A 24,098-nucleotide genomic window follows, 5' to 3' on the forward strand; every position below is an offset into this window, starting at 1 on the left:
AATTCAAGATGAGATTTGGGTGGGGACAGAGCCAAACCATATCACAACGTTTATGAAACACACTATGTTCTTGAGGAAGAAAAAGAAAAGCAATTCAAACTTGGAAAAGCGAAGACATTATACAAAATTACAGCAGAAATTAATAAAATAGAAAACAAGTATTCAAAAGGGAAAATGAATAAAGTCAAAAGTTGGACCAAGGAAAACTAATACAATTGATGAAGATCTAACTAAGCAATATTGTTCAAGGTATAAGTAGAGAACAAAACATTACCAATATCAAGAATGTAGATTCTACAAATAGCTAAAATATAACAGGAGAATATTATGAACAACTTCATATGAATAAATTTAATTTGAAAAAAATGGCACAAAAATACAACTCACCAATATTGGCTGAAAGAGAAGTAAAAAATATTAATATTAGTCTTCTAACAAAAATAATTCAAACTATTATTATACCTTTCTACAATTAAAACCTCAGGCTTTTATGGTTTTGCCTATGAACTCTTCCAACATTTTAGGAACAAAAATAGATAAATCTTAAACAAATCTTCTAGAGAAGAAAAAAAGAGAGAACCATCTCTTATTCCTTTTAAGAGTCTAGTTTACCTTAATTCTAAAATTTGGAAGGCTCTTACAAGAAAGGAATATTGCAGAACAGCCTCTCTTCTAAACATAAGATGCTAAAAATGTAAGTAAACTCTCAGCATATTGAATTAATTGGTTTATAAAAAAGGAAAATATGTCATGAATCAGTGAGATATATCCAGGTTGTAACAAAGAGTCTGACTCTATTTTCTGATGTTTAACTCTTCATAGATTTTAGGCTTCACTCCTCCCTCTCTCCCCTTTGCCTCACATAGGGACAAGCTAATAAGAAAACCAGGGCTTTTTTTCTTCTTTGATGCTGATATAAAATTCAAACCATGAGTGGAACTTTCATCCTAGACCCATCCCCTAATCACCATAACAATTTCAAGCCAATCTCCTTACCTGGATTTCTCAAGCCATTTTAAGACCTGTTTGGTAGCCACTCTGCTTGCCCCAGAAAGTCTCATGTGAATGATAATTCTTCTCATCGTTTCTTGGTGTGTAGGTCTTGACACCTGAACCAGACTTTGTGGGGAGATCCATCATACCTCTAAAGAGTAGCTACAATATGTGAGATACATAAGGTTAGTCCAACATTTGAAAAAAATCAGTCAATCTCAAGCACCACATAAATACAATCAAGAGATTATTGACTGAAGCAGCAAAAGAATTTAGCAAACCTCTAACACCAGTTATGATTTCTAAAAAATAAACCAAAAAGTGTTGAGTAAACTTGAGTAAGAAGAGAACTCCTCGATGTGATAAGAAATATCTACCAAAATTCGCAGCAATTATTATACCAATTTATAAATATTTAAAATAGTCCCCCTGAGTCTGAAAAAGTGAAAAAGACAAAGATATCTACTATAACAACTTATATTCATCAGTACATTGGAAATTCTAGCTGGTAAATTAAGTCAAGAAAAATAGTATAAATGAACCATCAACATTGGTGAATAAAATGTTAAATTGTCATTATTTGGAGATATTGTGAGCCTACAAAATCTATGAGTATTTACTAGAAATAATTATTAGAGCTAATGAGCAAACTTAACATTTTGACTTGCACACAATACAAAATATAACTAATTTTACCTTCTGTACTTGTTAAGAAATAAAAATGGAAACTAAAATAAAAATACTTAAATGGCACAAAAATATCAAATACCTAGGAATAAATATATCACAAGTTTCACAAGACATTTCCACTTGAATCTTCTAAACATTATTAAGAAAAAATTTTGAAACTGAAATGGAGAGATATACCATGTTCATGAGTTAAAAGACAATATTATAATGATGACAATTGTCCTCTAAATTAATTTACATTTTGAAAACAATCCCAGTGAAAATATCAGCTTCTCGTATGGCAGAAATTGACAAAACAGTTCTAAAATTTATATAGAAATGCAAGTTGCCAAGAACAACAAAGGCTATACTGAGGAAAAAACATGGAAGATTTAACAATACCAGATGTGATGACAGTCCAGTGGTATTGGGACAAGGATAGAAAAACTCAGCAATGGAACAGAATAGTTAAGAAACAGAAGCACACAAGACCAGAACCTCAATACTGTGAGAAAAAGCATAGTTTGATATTTTTACTTTGTGTTGCTTGTGCAATTGACTATTCACTTTTTAAAAAATGTATTTTCATCCCTACCTGAGGCTGTTCACAAAAAAATTAATTCTAGTTGATTTGAAGACAAAAATAAAAGGTAAAACTATGTAATTTTCAGAGGTAAGCATAGGAGAACATTTTTATGGTATGGGAGTGGGTAATTTTTTTTTTTTTTTTTTTTAAAGAACACAGCCAGGCACGGTGGCTCATAACTGTAATCCGAGCACTTTGGAAGGCCAAGGTGGGCAGATCTCCTGAAGTCAGGAGTTCACGACCAGCCTGGTCAACATGGTGAAACCCCATTTCTACTAAAAATACAAAAAATTAGCCAGGCATGGTGGCGCATGCATGTAATCCTAGTGACTCGGGAGGCTGAGGCAGGAGAATCGCTTGAACCTGGGAGGCAGAGGTTGCAGTGAGCTGAGATCATGCCACTGGACTCCAGCTTGGGCGACAAGAGTGAAACTCCATCTCAATAATAAATAAATAAATAAATAAATAAATAAATAAATAAATAAATAAAAATAACACAAAAAGTGCTTACAAAAAATTATAGATTGAATTTTATTAATTTCAGAATTTCTGTTAATAAACAGACATTGGTAAGAAAGTGAAAAGTAAGCCCACAGCATAGGAGAAGATATTTACAATACATATATCTAACAAAATATTTGGATCTAGAATACTAAATAAACTCTTAAATAAATAAAAAAATAAACACAGATTACCAAATAGAAAAAATGGGCCAAATATTTCAGAAAGATACTTTATGAAATGATATCCAAATGATGGCAAACATGAAAAAATGTTCACCACTGTTTATCAGAAAATGCAAATTAAAATCACACTGAGATAGCACTTCCCACCTGCCAGAATTGCTAAAGTGAAAAGGCTTGAAAATGTAAAGTGTTTGTGAGCATGAGGAACAATCAATACTATCACACATTGTTGGTGGGAAGGTAATTTAGTATACATTTTTCAGAAACCGGCTGTTGCAGGTGTAACATGCACATTTCCTATAATGCAACAATTCCATTCTTTGTATGTCATGCAAAATGCAAGCAAAAAATCACAAATAGACATGTATTAGAATCTTCATAGAAGCACTATGTCTAATAGCTGAAAACTACCCAAGTACCTATCAAGAGTAGAATGAATAAATTCTCATATAGTCACAGGATAAAATACTGTATAGCAACTTAACATTGTTAAATTGTTAACAGTGTTGTTAACAGTGTTGCAACAATGATAAATGCTCTAACACTGATGCAACAGTAAACATGTATCTCAAAAATATGATGTTGAGCAGAAGCTAGACACATAATAACACATATAGCATATTTCCAATTACATAAACTACACAAAGAACCAACATTAAGAAATGCCCTTTAGGATCAAGATAGTGGATATCCTTAAGCAGAAAGTGGGGAAGCATTTCTAATAATGAAAGAAAACATGTAAGGAACTTATTGGGTGCTTTTGATCTCAACTATTCCTTAATCTGGGAGATAGTACACGGATGAACTACATTTGTGGAAATTCATTGTGTTGTATGTACACTGTCTAAATGTACATTATGCTTCAATTAAAAATGTTAAAAATTAGATTTTGTTACTTCAGGAACAAGTAGAAAATGTACTTTAATACTATAATATTTATTAGATGCATTTTAAAAAGTAAATTACCTGTGAATAAATCTAACAAAACATGTTTAAATTCTTTATTTAAAAATTATAAAACTTTATTGAAAGATACCAAAAAATGTCTTGCTGAAAAGAAAAATTTAGTATTATAAAATCGTATTTCTAAGTCTTCCACATCTCCAATGCAATTCCCAATGCAGTCGAAATCCCAATAGTTTGGACTGTGCATTGGTACAACTCAACAAACTGATTTTAAAATTTGAATTTGAATCAAGTTTTAAAAATAACCAAGATATAAACCTAGAAATAGAATATAAAGTAAGTAACTCCATCAGAAAGCAAAATCTCTTGTACAGTTTTGATAATTAAGGTGAAATGCTATTAGTGAAAAAAGAAATAATTAGACCAATAGAATACAAATACAGAGTACTGAAGCAAACCAATATTTGTATGTGAAAAAATTCATTTATTCAGAACAGATATTGCAGAGTAGAGGGAAGGGATGAACTATCCAATAAAATGTGCTAACAATGGTTATCATTGTAGGCAAAATAACATTTGATTTTCATCTCATATTATTTTAAGGAATCAATTTTAAATGAATTCCGAGCATACCTCAGAAATATATTGTGGGTTCAGTTCTAGGTGGCCACAATAAAGTGAATATTTTGAAAAAGTGAGAAGCGAGTCAAATTTTTTGTTTCCCTATGTGTATAAAATTTACATTAAACCATACTGTAGTCTATTAAGAGTGCAATAACATTATGTCTAAAAAACATACATACTTTAAACAAGTTTTATTGCTAAAATTGCTGATGAACATCTGAGCTTTCAGTGAGTTCTAATTTTGCTCTTGGAGGATCTTGCCTCAATGTTGATGGCTGCCAACTGATCAGATGGTGATTGCTGAAGGTTGCAGTGGCTGTGGCAATTTCTTACAATAAAACAATGAAGTTTGCCACATTGATTGACTCTTCCTTTTATGAAACAGTTGTTTGTAGCACACAATGCTACCAACAGCATTTTACCTCCACACAGAACTTTCAAAATTGGCGTCAATCTTCTCAGACCCCTGGCACTGCTGCATTAACAAGTTTACATAATATTCTAAATCCTTTGTTGTTTCAAAGGATTTGAACATTTCAACAATGTTCCTATCACCTTCACCAGGAATAAACCCCATCTCAAGAAACCACTTTTTTTGCTCATCCATAAGAAACAACTCCTCACCCATTCAAGTTTTATTATATTGAAGCAATTTAGTCCCATCGTAGGCTTCATTTCTAATTCTAATTCTCTTGCTATCTCCACCCCATCTGCAGTTACTTTCTCCACTGAAGTCTCTCTCAAAGAAGGTTGGAATTAACTTCTACGTCCCTATTAATGTTGACATTTTGACCTCTGATGAATCACAAATGTTCTTAATGGCATCTCCACTGGTGACTACTTTCCAAAAGGTTTTCAATTGACTTTGCCCAAATCCATCAGAGAATTCACTATCTTATGGCAGCTATAGCCTTATTGAATATATTTCTTTCTTTTTTTTTTTTTTTTGACGTGGAGTCTGACTCAGTCACCAGGCTGGTGTGCAGTGGCGTGATCTCGGCTCACTGTAACCTCCGCCTCCTGGGTTCAAGCCATTCTCCTGCCCCAGCCTCCTGAGTGGCTGGGACTACATGCACACACCAGCACGCCAAGGTAATTTTCATATTTTTAGTAGAGACGGGGTTTCACCATGTTGGCCAGGATGGTCTCAATCTCCTGACCTCGTGATCCGCCTGCCTAGGCATGCCAAAATGCTGGGATTACAGGCATGAGCCACTGCACCCGGCCAAAATATATTTCTTGAAATATAAGACTTGAAAGCCAAAATTACTGCTCGATCCATGGGCTGAAGAATGCATGTTGTGTTAGCAGAGATGAAAACAACATTAATCGCTTATACCTCTCTGTCATAGTTACATTGTCAATGAACTACATTGTCAATCAGTTACAATGTCAATGGCAGCAGGTGATTGTCAATGAGCAGCACTATTTTGAAAAGAATTTTTTTCTGAGGAGTACTTCTCAATATGGGGCTTAAGATATTCTGTAAACCATGCTGTAAAGAGGTGTGTTGTCAACCAGGCTTTGTTCTTCCATTAACAGAGCACAGGCAGAGTAGATTTAGCATAAGTGTTAAGGACTCCAGTATTCTTTTAATGGTAAATAGCACTAGCTTCAATTTAAAGTCACCTGTTGCATTAGCCTCTAACAAAAGAGCCTGTCCCCTGAAGCTTTGAAACCTAGCACTGGCTTCCCTTCTCTAGCTATGCAAGTCTTACATGGCATCTTCTTCCAAATGAAGTCTGTTTGTCTATAATGAAAATCTGTTGTCAGTGTAGACACCTTCATCAGTTATCTTAGATCTTCTGCATAACTTGCTGCAGCTTCTACATCAGCACTTGCTGCTTCACCGTGCATTTTTTATGTTGTAGAGAGGGTTTTTTTCCTAAAATGTGATGAATGAACCTCTGCTAGTGTCCACTTTTCTTCTGTAGCTTCCTTGCCTCTCTCAGCCTTCATAGAATTGAAGAGAGTTAGGGCTTTGCTCTGGATTAGGCTTTGGCTTAAGGGAATGTTGTGGTTAGTTTGATCTTCTATCCAGACCACTCAAACTTTCTCCATATCAGCAATAAGGCTGTTTTGCTTTCTTATCATTTGTTTGTTCACTGGAGTAGCACTTTTAATTTCCTTTAAAAACTTTTTCTTTGCATTTACAGCTTGCTTGTTGGCTCAAGAGGCCTAGCTTTAGGCCAAGCCCTGCTTTCAACATCCCTTCTTCACTAAACTTAATCATTTTTAGCTTCTGATTTAAAGTAAAATATGTGCAACTCTTCCTTTCACTTGAACACTCAGAGGCCATTGTAATTGTCCTGATTTCAATACTGTGTGTCTCAGGGAACAGGAAGGTGTAAGGAGAGGGAAAGAGATGGGAATGGCTGATTGATGGAACATCAGAACTCACACAGCATTTATCAGTTAAGCACATTTTCTTATACGGGTGCCCTAAAACAATTACAATAGTAACATCAAAGATCCCGAATTATAGATCACCATGACAGATATAGTAATAATGAACAAATTTGATATGTTGTGAGAATTACCAAAATATAACACAAAAAAACAAAGTGAGCACATGCTGTTGGAAAAATGCTGTCAACAGAATTACTCAACACAGAGTTGCCATAAACCCAAAATTTTTTAAAAAGAAAGAAAAATGTAGTGTCTGTGGAGTGTGTTTGGATGAAGTGCAATGAAACTAGGTATGCCTATATAATAGTAAAGCAAAAAAAAACTTTAATTATTTTTTGAAAAGACTTTATCCTAATTTTGACCTTTGAATAAAGAAGAAGTTCTGGTGGAAAATGTCATAAAGCAAATAATAAGGAAACATATTGATTATTTTAAAAGAATTAACTAAATCCATTATAATTAAGTTACATTAAAGAATATTTTTTCACGATACAGTAACATAAAGAGAATGAAAACAAATTGTATGCTGGAGAGAAAATATGCTACACATTTAGTTGACAACTGTGTCATATCTAAAATAAAGAACTCATATAAATAAAAAACTGACAATTTAATAACTTGAAACTAGCAAGTTATAAAGACATCTTTCACATAATAGGATATGCAAAGAGCCCAGGAACATGAAAAGATGCTCAACTTCATTATCATATGGGTAAATACAAATTAAAACAAAAAAATCCATTTTATTAAGATCAATAAACATTAGCAGGATTTTACAGAATAAAAATAAATACTTGAGAATCCATACTTGGGACAATGTCTATGTCCCGAAATTAAGAAAAATTAAGAAATCAGCTAAAGTCAAGTACTGACAAAGACGTGGATCAACAGAAACTTCAGGTGGTCGTATAAGTGATACTTTGGAAATTGTATCACACTACCTATTAAAGTTCAACATGTATTTATCAAATGTTCCCACAATTCTACTCTTTTATATATGCTGAAAACACTAAAGATAGACATTTACAATACTGTTGTACTATTGTAGACAGATCAGCACTGTTTGTGATAGCAAAATCCTGGAGTCCACTCAAACTTTGAATGCCAGTATAAGTAAATAAGTTGTTGTATATTTAAACACTGGAATTATTATACCTCAGTAAAATTTTTTTTAAAAGCAAGAACTAAAGTTATATGCACCAATGTGGATAAACCTCAAAAACAAGCTTGACAGAAAAGAGGTAGCTGCAAAATAATTCATGTTTCCACTTTTTAGAATTCAAAAATGGCAAAACTATGCAACAAATTATTTACAGATGCAAGCATGTTTGATACAATTATTATTAAAAACAAGGAGGTAAATGACACAAACTTCAGAATTGCTTTGACAATTTTGAAAAATATGATTCTAGATTAGTCATATTTTGATTCAAGTATATGTAATGAATAAAGACAATATAGCTATATAAGGACCCATGAATCTTGTCTCTATACACTTCTTATTAGGGAGTGATTAGAAGTAGTGGTGTATACCAAGAGAAAGACCTCATGTCCAACAATGGGTGGAATTAACACAGGAGAATGGTTAAGAGAAGTCTTAGAAGACTGGAAGTTTGGTAAATTTCTAAAATAACCAAGGCAGTTTTAGCTTGGGGAGGGATGCTGTAAGAAAATGAGAGTTAGTACACGATAAAATGAGAAATAATTTGTTGGTGATTATTGTGGGTGATTTGGTGATGTTTACCAACAGAGAAAAAGAGTGAGAGAGTGAGAAAGAGGAGACAAAAGAGACGGGATAAGGGAGAGAGGGAGAGAAAGCCAGATACGTGAAAAAGAGGGAATTATTAATTTAAGGAAAACAAAAGATTTTACAATTAAAAATATTATAGTAGAATATGTTGCTCTATATAGTGTATATATTCAATAGAATATGGTGATGCTGAAATAAACAATGATTATTTAACAAATTACTAGTTAATAATTCGGGAGGATGGAGCAAGGCAGTTTGAGGAGAGTGCTATATCTTTATCTAGCATAACAGGAGTCATTAGACAAATACCCAAATTGATAATCACTAAATAACAATGTAAGTATATTATTTAGAAACATAGAAATGACTACCAGAAGAAACACTTAAAATTATTTCCTCTGGAGAATATGTCTGAAAGAAGAGAAGGGTTTAGTGACCACACTCTTTACTATAAGGTTTTTGATACATTAGAAAAGTGACTTTCTGCACTTATTTTTGATACATTTTTAAAAATTAACTGAAAACATAGACATTGTCCCAATTATGGATTCTCAAGTGTTTATTTTTGTTCTGTAAAAACCTTATGATCTTGATTGATCTATTTGGTAAATAAGTGGTGTCTATCTTCAAAAATTTCCACAGTCACACAGGTAAGGATTTTTAAAAAACTTTTGCTTTGCAATGGGCCGCCAGTTTAGAAAGCACTATACTATCAAAGGCTCATGTCAACATTAAATACTCCATGTAGCTGAAGTCAGTGGATGGTAGAACCCCAGAGATCTTTCTGAATAAGAAATCTAAGTTTGAATGTTCAGTATCTATCAGAAAAGAGCTACATCTCCAAAATTCTTCCACTCTGGTCTCCTTTACTGAAGTTTCACTTTTCCATACAATCTTTCCATACAATCTTGGTAGCTTGATGGTTTAAAAGCCTTAAATGGTTACATTTACTGTTGTTTCTGGTTGTCGTCAAGGTTACAGAAACAGCAACTACTGCAGGCAATTAAACTGACTTCATAACCTGCCTTAGCTACAAGACTGAAGTTCCAATTTTCCAGTTGTACTTGGATCTGAAATTTGGCTTCACATGAGTTCAGTCTGTCCCGGGACAAAGTAAAGCCAAGTTTACATTGTCTACTAAATACTCCAACGGTTGACACTATTTTTTCAAACATCAAACACATTTTATGGACTCGAACATAATAGTATAGTGATAAAACTGTAGGATATTTAAAAGTTTTTTTATTTTTCTTTTCTCTTATTCTGAAGTATTTCCTCTAACGTTACACTTTTCTTATTTATTTTTCCACTGCTATCTCTTATTCAATAAAAAAAGGAAAGATCTCTTAAGCCCTGGAAAGAAAAAGTCAAAGATAAGAACTAATCAACCTCTAGTAATTCTTTCCATTAGTTTTGTTACTCTCTTTTAAGTTTCTCACTGAGTCTCTGCAGCTTTAATGTCAGAGGTCCTTTGGCCATGTAGAAGGAACCGCAGTTTCTTAACCACAGACGTCCTAAATGCAAAGTAGATAGTTCTGAAGTTGACGTAAAGAACTACAGCTACTAGAAGACGGTATTACCACTTCCTATCCTACGAATTACACGCTACTTCTGGTTTTGTCTTGGAGGTAATTGTTTAACACCTGATTTTAAGGGCTTTCCTCAGATTGGAATATAATTGGACAAATTTAGCTTATCTGATTACATCCATTAGATATTAGTTTAAATTTATAAATGACAGCAGAGGACACAAAGTTAATTAAACCTGTGCCAGTACATTCATCACAATCATGACTGGTCACCTTGGAGCCTCAAATGAAGTTAAACCTGTACATATGCCTGCTAAGTTATCTGATATTTTTAGAAGAAAAATTAAACAAAATGCAAACTTTTTTATGACGAAGAAAAATAAAGCTAAAATGTAAAAGAATATCTACCTTTTTCTCCCTCTTAGAATAAAGAAGATACTCAGTCAAGATGTCATACATACCAGTAATACTGGATTAGAAGAAAAAGAATGATGCATTTTCTTGGAGTTTGCTTAGTCACACCGGGTTTTCTATGATATTTTTTGGGGGAGTGTCAGCACTCACGAATGACAAGCAGTTGTGTGCTTGTACATCATACTCAGCACTGGAATTCAATTCAGAATTAACACTGCCTCAAATATCAAATAAAAACAGATGTTACAGTCCTAAATCTAATAGTCCTTGGAGAATGACAGGGTGGAGAATAGCATCAGAGACAGAATGAGAATGAATGAGGGAGTCACAGTCACTCCTGTACCTTCTCATTGGTTCCGTAAGCACTAGTTAAATTGGATATAGGTCAATAACCTAAAATTCAACATCTTACCAACCAAATTCATCTCACAGAGGTGTATTTCTCATTCGGTGTTCCTTTTCACTACAATAAGTACCACCTTCCCCACCTAATCAAACCCAAAACGTCAAGCAATCTTTAATGTTTTCATTCTCTCTGATATTTCACATTGAATTATTTATTAGATTGGTTTTTCTACCTCAGAAATATGTCTGAAATATTAATATTCTTTCTTATGCCATCATCACTGAAGTTCAAAAAATTACCACTGTAGGTTTTTGTTTGTTTGTTTGAGACAGGGTCTTGCTCTGTCACCCAGGCTGGAGTGTAGCGATGTGATCTCGGCTCATTGCAACCTTAACCTCCTGGATTCAAGTGATTCTCCTGCCTCAGCCTCTGTGCCTCAGCCTCCGAAGTAGCTGGGATTACAGGCGTGCATGCGCCATGCCACTCGGCTAATTTGTGTATTTTTTAGTAGAGATTGACCAGGCTGGTCTTGGACTCCTGATCTCAAGTCATCCGCCTGCCTCGGCCTCCCAAAGTGCTGTGATTACAGGCACCAAGCCCAGCCAACCATTGTACACAGTTTCTAGTCACCCTCTTCATGTCTATGATTGCTGTCTCTAGTTCATTCATGGCCCAGAAATCAGAGGGATTTTTTTTTTTTTTCAGAAGGATTCTCCCACTGTCTCTTGGGCTGGAGTGCAGTGGCGCAATTTCGGCTCACAGCAACTTCTGCCTCCCGGGTTCAAGAGATTTTCCTGCCTCAGCCTCTTGAGTAGCTGGGATTACAGGTGCATGCCGCCACGCCCTGCTAACTTTTTTTCTTTCTTTTTTTTTTTTTTTGTAATTTTAGTAGAGACGGGGTTTCACTGTGTTGGCCAGGCTGGTCTCGAACTCCTGACCTCATGATCCACCCGCCTCGGCCTCCCAAAGTTCTGGGATTAGAGGCGTGAGCCACTGCACCTGGCCAGAGGGATCTTTTAAACAACAGAAATCTGATCATGTCATTGTTTTCTTGCTTTCTTAAAATTGTACAGTACCTTCCCATTTTCTTAATATCAAAAATCCTTAAAAACTACTGACAGTTGGTCCTTATAGCTCTAGCTTCATCTTTTGTAACTTTACCTTTGTCCTTGATGCTACAAATCTTCTAAACTTCTTTCAGTTTTCAAGCACTATATAAGAAATTTATTATATAGTTCTGGGACTTTTTGTGTTTAGGGGATATTTGCATGGGATGCTATTACTTCATCCTCATCCTATTCCTATTCATTCTTTTGTGTCAGTTTAAGAATAAATTAAATGGGTCTTCCTCATCTTTAGGCAGCTTTAAATTCCATTTTAACTCAATGCCTTGGTGTATTGAATTTCATCTTTTCCAAAATATTTGAAACTTCCATTTCAGTTCAATGTCCTGCTTAATCCTAATGCCTAGGTCTTCCAGGACTTTATCTGTCTTGTTCATAATTGACCTCTTCATTTTTACTATAAGTCCTGGAACGTGGTAGATGCTTGATAAGTATTGATTGAGTCAAATTGAATAAAATATATAAGAATGATAAAAATGTGTAGCAGCTTCCTTTAAAATGCTCAAAACTAGAGATTTCAAAATCTCAGAAATCACCACTAAGAACTTATCCATGTAACCAAACACCGACTGTTCCCCAAAACCCCAAAAAATAATTCTACCTATATTGTCAAAAACTACATTTTATTTCACTGATTTGCACATAAGAATTGTTTGTATGTGTATGAATGTATGTTTGTAGCTGTGCAAGAGAGGATGGAAGGTGAAAGGAAAACAGGCATGAGCAACAAAGGCATGTCTATATATATATATATATATATATATATATATATATATATATATAATGAAAAGGACTGTGAGGAACACTTTGGCTTTCTTTTATCAAAGGCCCTGCCATGTTCTGAAGTCTTTTCTGGACCTCTTGGTATTGTATGTATAATCTTATATACCAAAACAAATATGGCTATAAAATTCAAATAGCAATCCACTTGAGAATAAATCATAGCATACCCTGCTATTTTTGTCTGCCTTCCTTTAAAGATGTGAAGATCTGAAAGGATATATGAAACCTAATCCCTTCCTGTGGTTAAAAAAAATATTAAGAACAAACTACATGCAAGTCTCAGCACATACTTGCAGTCACTCCAAAGTAAATGTTTTCTCTATACCTTGGGGAAAAAGTGATTTTGTGACTCTCTGCTTTGCAAATCAGCTGATTTTTTTTTCAAAGACAGCCTCCTTGAGAAGTATGTATACTTTAGAAGCATCACTTTTCCAAAACTCTACGCCTTGGAATAGTATTGCCTTGAGATTTTTAGATGTTAAAAAAGGGCACCCTACATTTTTTGGAAGATGGGTTGCATTTAGCTGTATCATACTATTAAAGTATTGCAGCAAAATATGAGTAGCATGGAACCTAGACTTTTCAAACATTTTATCATTCAACTAAACCTTGTTGTATTTTCATACCTATTAAAATCTGTGTCATTCAGTAACAATTCACAAAATCCTAGTTTAATGAGAGAGAAAATGAATTCCAAACTAGCAACCTTATCATTCTCTTTTCCCCCTCAAAAAGCCTATCTAGCCTCAGTCATCATTCTTAAAATGACAATAATCACACCTATTGCATAGTAGTAGAGTGAGAATTAATTGGGAGTTATATACCAGATTTCTACTCAAAATCTCATTTCTCTTCTATGCTCCAAACCATAGAAAAAAAATTACAACAAATTACTTATATAAAAATATTTAGCAGATTTGTTAATGTTTCCTCAAAGGGGAAATATCGCATACTTTTATTATTGTTACTGTAACATTTGTGCAATGCCTTAAACCGCAGTGTTCTTTGCACTAGGGGAACTTCAAACGTGGAGGTTCTGTACAAATTCTGTCTGTTGCCATCAAATGTCATATAGCTGAATGGCAAGCATTATCATGCCTGTGCTCTGCTAGGGGAGCACCTGATTGGCTCTACAATCGAAGTACAGGGGGATGCATTTTACAGAGGAACAAAACAACTGCAGAAACAATTACTCTGAAAGCTGTTTTACATTCAGATCACTCTCGGTATGTCTGCAAATCATAAATAGGCTTCAAAGAATGAAAAGTCAGAAATTGGAGCTCATAGCATATGGGTTTCTAGACAAATCTAGACGTGGAATTGAAAATGACTAAATTTGATTTCCTTGTCAAAATTGTGTTTTCACAGTAATCTGAACTTTATCCTGTCTCCGTTCTCCCCACCTCCCCCGGAGCCCAATATCAAACAAGTGTTTGAGTAAAGAAAAATCCAAGCTAACAGGAAAACTATAACACTACAGAGTAAACACTCACAGCAGCATCTGTCTAAGGAGTCATACTTCAGAGAGCAAATGACTTTTTTCCTGAGAGAACTGCTGTTAGCTAATATATGACAGTTCATGGGCTTTCACTGTAGTCAACCAGAAGCAAAAAATTAGACTGAAACTTGCAGACTGAAGCTTACGGAATTTGACTGTAATGGAAATTATCGGCAAGAATCTTGGTTATTCAAAGTTTCAGTGATTTTCCCATATGCATTTTTGCTGAATTCATGTTTAAGAAACAGGAAAGTCAAACCATGATTTTGCTTTTGAAAAGGCAAGAAAATACTAAAATATAAAGCTTTGAAATTATACATTGCTTCGTTAATTCTTAAGATCTACAGATCTGATTACATGTAAGTTTCTGTATTGCGTCTCAAAGGATAGATAAGCAAATTAGAAAATAGCAAATATTTTTTTAAATTTTTTTTATTATTATTATACTTTAAGTTTTAGGGTACATGTGCACAATGTGCAGGTTAGTTACATATGTATACATGTGCCATGCTGGTGTGCTGCACCCATTAACTCATCATTTAGCATTAGGTATATCTCCTAATGCTATCCCTCCCCACTCCCCCCACCCCACAACAGTCCCCAGAGTGCGATGTTCCCCTTCCTGTGTCCATGTGTTCTCATTGTTCAATTCCCATCTATGAGTGAGAACATGCGGTGTTTGGTTTTTTGTCCTTGCGATAGTTTACTGAGAATGATGATTTCCAATTTCATCCATGTCCCTACAAAGGACATGAACTCATCATTTTTTATGGCTGCATAGTATTCCATGGTGTATATGTGTCACATTTTCTTAATCCAGTCTGTCATTGTTGGACATTTGGGTTGGTTCCAAGTCTTTGCTATTGTGAATAGTGCCGCAATAAACATACGTGTGCATGTGTCTTTATAGCAGCATGATTTATAGTCCTTTGGGTATATACCCAGTAATGGGATGGCTGGGTCAAATGGCATTTCTAGTCCTAGATCCCTGAGGAATCGCCACACTGACTTCCACAATGGTTGAACTAGTTTACAGTCCCACCAACAGTGTAAAAGTGTTCCTATTTCTCCACATCCTCTCCAGCACCTGTTGTTTCCTGACTTTTTAATGATTGCCATTCTAACTGGTGTGAGATGGTATCTCATTGTGGTTTTGATTTGCATTTCTCTGATGGCCAGTGATGATGAGCATTTTTTCATGTGTCTTTTGGCTGCATAAATGTCTTCTTTTGAGAAGTGTCTGTTCATATCCTTTGCCCACTTTTTGATGGGGTTGTTTACTTTTTTCTTGTAAATTTGTTTGAGTTCATTGTAGATTCTGGATATTAGCCCTTTGTCAGATGAGTAGGTTGCAAAAATTTTCTCCCATTCTGTAGGTTGCCTGTTCACTCTGATGGTAGTTTCTTTTGCTGTGCAGAAGCTCTTTAGTTTAATTAGATCACATTTTTCAATTTTGGCTTTTGTTGCCATTGCTTTTGGTGTTTTAGACATGAAGTTCTTGCCCATGCCTATGTCCTGAATGGTAATGCCTAGGTTTTCTTCTAGGGTTTTTATGGTTTTAGGTCTAATGTTTAAGTCTTTAATCCATCTTGAATTAATTTTTGTATAAGGTGTAAGGAAGGCATCCAGTTTCAGCTTTCTACATATGACTAGCCAGTTTTCCCAGCACCATTTATTAAATAGGGAATCCTTTCCCCATTGCTTGTTTTTCTCAGGTTTGTCAAAGATCAGATAGTTGTAGATATGCGGCATTATTTGTAAGGGCTCTGTTCTGTTCCATTGATCTATATCTCTGTTTTGGTACCAGTACCATGCTGTTTTGGTTACTGTAGCCTTGTAGTATAGTTTGAAGTCAGGTAGTGTGATGCCTCCAGCTTTGTTCTTTTGGCTTAGGAATGACTTGGCGATGCGGGCTCTTTTTTGGTTTCATATGAACTTTAAAGTAGTTTTTTCCAATTCTGTGAAGAAAGTCATTGGTAGCTTGATGGGGATGGCATTGTATCTATTAATTACCTTGGGCAGTATGGCCATTTTCACGATATTGATTCTTCCTACCCATGAGCATGGAATGTTCTTCCATTTGTTTGTATCCTCATTTATTTCATTGAGCAGTGGTTTGTAGTTCTCCTTGAAGAGGTCCTTCACGTCCCTTGTAAGTTAGATTCCTAAGTAGTTTATTCTCTTTGAAGCAATTGTGAATGGGAGTTCACTCATGATTTGGCTCTCTGTTTGTCTGTTATTGGTGTATAAGAATGCTTGTGATTTTTGTACATTGATTTTGTATCCTGAGACTTTGCTGAAGTTGCTTATCAGCTTAAGGAGATTTTGGGCTGAGACGATGGGGTTTTCTAGATATACAATCATGTCATCGGAAAACAGGGACAATTTGACTTCCTCTTTTCCTAACTGAATACTCTTTATTTCCTTCTCCTGCCTGATTGCCCTGGCCAGAACTTCCAACACTATGTTGAATAGGAGTGGTGAGAGAGGGCATCCCTGTCTTGTGCTAGTTTTCAAAGGGAATGCTTCCAGTTTTTGCCCATTCAGTATGATATTGGCTGTGGGTTTATCATAGATAGCTCTTATTATTTTGAGATACGTCCCATCAATACCTAATTTATTGAGAGTTTTTAGCATGAAGGGTTGTTGAATTTTGTCAAAGGCCTTTTCTGCATCTATTGAGATAATCATGTGGTTTTTGTCTTTGGTTCTGTTTATATGCTGGATTACATTTATTGATTTACGTATATTGAACCAGCCTTGCATCCCAGGGATGAAACCCACTTGATCATGGTGGATAAGCTTTTTGATGTGTTGCTGGATTAGGTTTGCCAGTATTTTATTGAGGATTTTTGCATGAATATTCATCAAGGATATTGGTCTAAAATTCTCTTTTTTGGTTGTGTCTCTGCCCGGCTTTGGTGTCAGGATGATGCTGGCCTCATAAAATGAGTTAGGGAGGATTCCCTCTTTTTCTATTGATTGGAATAGTTTCAGAAGGAATGGTACCAGTTCCTCCTTGTACCTCTGGTAGAATTCGGCTGTGAATCCATCTGGTCCTGGACTCTTTTTGGTTGGTAAGCTATTGATTATTGCCACAATTTCAGATCCTGTTATTGGTCTATTCGGAGATTCAACTTCTTCTTGGTTTAGTCTTGGGAGAGTGTATGTGTCGAGGAATTTATCCATTTCTTCTAGATTTTCTAGTTTATTTGCGTAGAGGTGTTTGTAGTATTCTCTGATGGTAGTTTGTATTTCTGTGGCATCGGTGGTGATATCCCATTTATCATTTTTTATTGTGTCTATTTGATTCTTCTCTCTTTTCTTCTTTATTAGTCTTGCTAGCGGTCTATCAATTTTGTTGATCCTTTCAAAAAACCAGCTCCTGGTTTCATTAATTTTTTGAAGGGTTTTTTGTGTCTCTATTTCCTTCAGTTCTGCTCTGATTTTAGTTATTTCTTGCCTTCTGATAGCTTTTGAATGTGTTTGCTCTTGCGTTTCTAGTTCTTTTAATTGTGATGTTAGGGTGTCAATTTTGGATCTTTCCTGCTTTCTCTTGTGGGCATTTAGTGCTATAAATTGCCCTCTACACACTGCTTTGAATATGTCCCCGAGATTCTGGTATCTTGTGTCTTTGTTCTCATTGGTTTCAAAGAACATCTTTATTTCTGCCTTCATTTCATTATGTACCCAGTAGTCATTCAGGAGTAGGTTGTTCAGTTTCCATGTACTTGAGTGGTTTTGAGTGGGTTTCTTAATCCTGAGTTCTAGTTTGATTGCACTGTGGTCTGAGAGACAGTTTGTTATAATTTCTGTTCTTTTACATTTGCTGAGGAGAGCTTTACTTCCAACTATGTGGTCAATTTTGGAATAGGTGTGGTGTGTTGCTGAAAAAAATGTATATTCTGTTGATTTGGGGTGGAGAGTTCTGTAGATGTCTATTAGGTCCGCTTGGTGCAAAGCTGAGTTCAATTCCTGGGTATCCTTGTTAACTTTCTGTCTTGTTGATCTGTCTAATGTTGACAGTGGGATGTTAAAGTCTCCCATTATTATTGTGTGGATGTCTAAGTCTCTTTGTAGGTCACTCAGGACTTGCTTTATGAATCTGGGTGCTCCTGTATTGGGTGCATATATATTTAGGATAGTTAGCTCTTCTTGTTGAATTGATCCCTTTACCATTATGTAATGGCCTTCTTTGTCTCTTTTGATCTTTGTTGGTTTAAAGTCTGTTTTATCAGAGACTAGGATTGCAACCCCTGCTTTTTTTTCCTTTCCATTTGCTTGGTAGATCTTCCTCCATCCTTTATTTTGAGCCTATGTGTGTCTCTGTATGTGAGATGGGTTTCCTGAATAGAAAATAGCAAATATTGTGTATAAATCTTTGGAATGTGTTAAAGCCCTTTCATCTGGTATTAAGGTGAGAGGAAACATGAGACATAGGAAAGTTACTTCAGCACCAGATATGTTGGGGAAGCAATTCAATTGAATAATGGAATGCTTCAGCTTCTAAAGTTAAAATTTGTCTTTAAGGAGAATCACAAACAAGTTTATTTATCTAAATTATATTTCATTTGATGTGTTGATTTTTGGTACATGACAAACTATTATCTTTGGTCTAAATATAAACTTCTTTTATTAATCTTTGGTTTATTCACATTTTTAGTTACTCATTTAATAATATAATGAATTCCTATTAATATTAATCCACTGGCCAAACTAAACACTAGATCCTTATAAATAACAGTTCTGAGGGCTCCTCTACCAAATCATTCCTCTATCGTGCCCACTTCCAGAGGAAAACCTATTCTAAATTTTGCATTTATTATTTCCAGTGGATGCTGAAATTAGCTGCCTGGATCATCTACTCGAGACAGAAGAACTCATTCAGGCAAGTGCTGGTGGTGTTGGTGATTGACAGGTCTTCTTGTTTCCCCCTTTTGGAATTGCCTGAGAGTCTCCTCATCCAAGGTCACTTCCTTTTTCAGAGGCAGCATGCATAGAACCAGTGCGTGAGGATGGGGAGGCACTGGGAGTTATACAGCTCTGGCTCTAGTGTTCCAATGTAGTACCAGTCTACAGAGATATCCCAACTCGAGTTCTTTCTGGGGGCTATTAAGGCTATTTTTGAGACTATATCTCACTCCAGTCACTCCTTATTCTTTCACTTTGTATACAGATATCTCCTTCACATATTTTATTTTCTAGGGAATCCCATCTTTGACATGATTCTTGTTCTTTTTTTAACAAATAATGCAGAAGTAATTGTATATCCATAAGCAAAAGAAAAAAACCTTGACTTAAACCTCACTCTTATACAAAAATTAACTCAAATAGATAATGGACTCACATGTAAAATTATAAAATTTTAGAAAAAAGAATGAAAGATTTGCCACATGAAAAGATTTTCAAAATCATTAGCTTTGAGGAAAATGCAAATTAAGTCACAATGAGATACATTTATACACCTATCAGAATAGCTAAAATAAAAAATGCTGACAAGCCCAAATGCTGATGAAGATGTGGAAAAATGGATCACTCGTATATTGCTGGTAGGAATGTAAAATGAAACAGCCACTCTGGAAAACAGTTTAGCATTTTTCTATTATATAATACTAAACACATAATAACCATATAACCCAGCGATTGCACACTTGAAACATGTTTCCCGGAGAAATGGAAACTTTTGTTTATGAAAAATAAAACCCTATCTATGAAGAATAGCAACTTTATTCATAATAAATGAAAACTGGGAGCAGCCCAGATTCCCTTTAAAGGTGATTATGAAACAAACTGTGTTGTTTTTCTGCCATGGACTACTACTAGCTATCAAAATAGAAAAATCATTGACACATGCAGCAACATGGATGAATCAAGGAGTTCTACAGAATTATACAGGTGAATAAGGGTGAAAAAAGCCAATCCCAAAAGCCTCCGTACTGCATGGTCTTACTTACATATCAGATTCTTGAAATAACAAACTATGGAAGTATAGAATAGAGCAGGGATTACTAGGGTTTAGTGATGAGGCTGGGATGGTATGGCTACAAAAGGGCAACACAGGAAATCCTTGGGATAGAATTGTTCTGTATGTTAACTGTAGTCCTGGATGCAGAAATCTACATGTAAAAACATTTTATTAAACTAAGTATACACACACGAATAAGTACAAGTTAACTTGTAAAATCTGAATAAAATTGATGGTTTGTAACAACCTTAATATTCTGGTTGTGATTTTCTACAGTTTTGCAAGATATTACTAATAGAAGAAATGGCATGAAGGGTACATGGGAACTTTTGTGCTATTTCTTACACTTGTATGTACATCTACAACTATTTCAAAATCATAATTCTAATTTAAAAATGTAATGCTTGTGTTTAAATGTTATAGTAGTAGTAGGTACTATAGATTGTCTTTGGTAGCTTTTTTTTTCTTCCTTTCACATACTCCCTAATTCATCCTATGTGACAGATTAAATACCAAGATTTCTCCAATCCGCTGTATGTAGCTTTCTTTCATTCATATTTACTGCTGTTTAATACTTGAATTTCTGACTATAACACAATTTATGTGTATATTTTTCTATTGATTAGTGTTTGTGGTTTTTTAAGTATTTGATATTATGGACAGTGGTGTGAACAATCTTGTCCTTGGTATGCAAGTCTTTCTAGTTCATTGATCCGCTCCTTTTATTCCTTCTAATTTTGGGTTTATTTTGTGTTCCTTTTATAATTTGGTTTATTATTTTTTCAGCTATTTTTCTTTTCTAGTATAAATATTTAAGGCTATATGTTTCTTTCAAAGCATTGTTTTTGTATTTTCCCATGAGTTTTGATGTACAATGTGGTTATATTTAGTTCCTTCTTTCTTTTCTTTTTTTCTTTTGTTTGACAGAATCTTGCTCTGTCGTTTAGGCTGGAGTGCAAAGCTGTGATCTCGGCTCACTGAAACATCCACCTCCCAGGTTCAAGTGATTCTCCTGCCTCAGCCTCCTGAGTAGCTGGGATTACAGGCATGCACCACCACGCCCAGCTAACTTTTGTATTTTTAGTAGAGATGGGAATTTTACCATGTTGGCCAGGCTGGTCTTGAAAGCCTGACCTCAGGTGATCCACCTGCCTTGGCCTCCCAAAGTGTTGGGATTACAGGCGTGAGCCACCACACCCAGCCATATTTAGCTATTTCTAAATATTTTTTAGTTTTGAAATTTGTCAACTTCTTTTATCATAAATTGTTACAAGTTTTTTTATTTCCAAATATAAGGGGGTTTATTTATCTTTTTTAGTTGTTGTTCTTTCACATTTTTAGCTGGATTTCCTCATCCTGAGAAACATGTATCTGCATGATACCTGCACTTTGAAATTTATTATTTCCTGCTTGATGGCATAGAAAATGATCAATTTTGTGAATGAGCTATAAATATTTAAGACAAGTGTATTTACTCTATTTGGGGGCACAAAATTCTGTGTATCTCTATTACAATAAACAATATTTTTACTATTCAAATTATATTTTCAATTTTTTTTGGCTATTTGTACTATTAGTGAATAAAAGAAGACTGCTGAAATCTCTTTATATATATTGGTAGATTTATTTAAGCTTCCCAGTAAATCTATCCATTTTTTAATTCATATAATTTGAGGCTAATTTTTAGACAATAGAATTTAAATTGTTCCATGTTTTCTGTGAGTTTAAATTCTGATCATTTATGTAGTAACCCTAAAAAGTTATTTTGCTTTAACGTCTATTTTTTCTGTGATTATTATTAAGTCAGCTTTCTTTTATTTGCTCATTGCCTAAAAATGTGAGCTAATTACTACGAATATAAAAAATTTTATATCATTTCTTCTGAGAACAGAAAATAATCAACATCCAGTACATTAGATTACACTGGTATCACTTGTGGTTCAAGAAACAACACAACTTATTAACAATTTTATAGTAAACTTACTTTACATTGGAGTTTATTATTTCTAAATATTCATTTGGAAGAACAAGGTATTAAAAATGTAGATGAGTTTTAGCCATTTCTTTAATTATTTATGAATCATCTATGATACAGCATAAGTCCCCTTTTTTGTTTCCCTCTTAGCATTATTTTATAAGATGTATGAAAGCTAAAAATTTCCCCTCCTGAAAAAGAGTAACAATAAAAGCTTATATTTACTAAAATATCTTCACATATTTTCATTCTTAGAATGAAGAGTCTCCTGAATAAGAAAAATTCGGTAGCTTTATGTACAATATTATATTCTACATTCTAATAAATCTGTTATCACCTTCATAAGCACCTTAAGTAGGCCTCACTCTAGGCTATATCACCATGTACATTTTAGGCAGACAACTACAGAAACAGAGATATAAGTAAGACCATTTAGAAGAAAAGACAAATAAACAACAGAATAAACTCTTTAAGCGGGTAAGCCCCTAATGCATTAACTAATAAAGGAAATAAAATGGTCCTCTTTTTCATTCAAATGTGTCAAATAGGTTAGAAAGCAATAAAAAAAAGATGTTTTCTGTACTGTAAAATATTTACCTGATATTATTAGGCCCTGTCCCAGTTGTAGCAATTAAATAACACTGATCTTTTTACGAATAACAAATTTTGTGCTCTTGACAAATAATTAGAATATTCTGAAGCTTTCCACTTGGCAAGTTTTGAAAAAGTCTTAGAAAATAAGGTCATTGCTTTTCCCATTTAGTGGATGTCTAGGGATTCAATAAAATTTCTGACCTTGTTTTTGTTGTTGTTTTCTGCAACATTTCATTTGTTTAAACTGCTTGATGTAAAAAGAAATTCCATTCTTATTCAAAGCCTCATGGAAACAGAACAGGCACTGACCATTAATGCATGTCCAATTTAGCCTGATCTTCCAACGTAGGGTATTTAACATGGTTGATAGCAATTACTGTGCACAGTTTTTCAACTTTTTCTCCCAGGCACATAGTTGCCTTGTCTATCTTTCAAAACCACAGTTCTAATCATGTAAAACCTCCCAGCTCCCATCTTGAAATGCCCATGGCTATCCATTGATTTCAGATCTATACTGGCAGTGTTTGACCTAACTCTCAAAGCTAGATTACCTCCTAACTGGGTGTGAATTTACATTTACAAATTCATTTCATACTATTTGCTTTCATGACCTATGGACCAAACTTAGGGATGATACATATGCTACCCTTTAATCATGTTGCTTTCTCTTTTTGGTTGGTCCTTTATCCTACCTTTACACATTCCAATATTAACCATCCTTTATTGTCCTGCTCACATAGGATTGCAACTCTTCAATGAACCCTGCCTTAGGCCCCTCTAAGCTACAAATATCCTCTCCTTCCTCTGAATTACAAATTAGCACATTACGTGGGGAAAATAGAAAGTATGACTTCTATTATAATGTGTTTGCATGCCTTCAATTTCCCAGCAACTTTTCATTTATGTGGTCTTTTATGATTGGCTTCTTTCACTTATCATAATGTCATGAAGGTTCATTTATGTTGTAGCACTTATCATACTTACTGCTTTATAGAGCTGAATAACGTTCCATCATATGGATATACATTTTATTTATCTATTCATGAGCTGATGAATATTTGAGTTGTTTCCACTTTTGGGCTATTATAAATAATGGTGCTATAAACATTTATGTACAAGGTTTTGTGGGAATATATGTTTTCAGTATATATACCTGGGAGTAGAATGTCTGGATCATATGATTACTCTGTGTTCAATCATTTGGGGACCTGCTAGACTGTTTTCCAGAGCAGCTGCACTGTTTTACA

The 24,098-nt window shown here is 34.6% G+C and overlaps 1 long non-coding RNA gene across 1 annotated transcript in view; it reads right to left on the bottom strand.

Annotated features, from left to right (window-relative positions):
- Positions 1-315: 315 nt before the first annotated feature.
- LOC105377408 (uncharacterized) overlaps positions 316-24,098 on the bottom strand; it is a 43,299-nt gene continuing 19,516 nt past the window's right edge. Inside the window, exons 2-3 of the long non-coding RNA XR_001741822.2 lie at positions 997-1,155; positions 316-396 (exon numbers count right to left, since the gene is read on the bottom strand). This is a non-coding gene — a long non-coding RNA (uncharacterized LOC105377408). The remainder of the gene's footprint in view (positions 397-996; positions 1,156-24,098) is intronic.

This window comes from Homo sapiens, chromosome 4, assembly GCF_000001405.40.
Source record: "Homo sapiens chromosome 4, GRCh38.p14 Primary Assembly".
Lineage (NCBI taxonomy): Eukaryota > Metazoa > Chordata > Mammalia > Primates > Hominidae > Homo > Homo sapiens.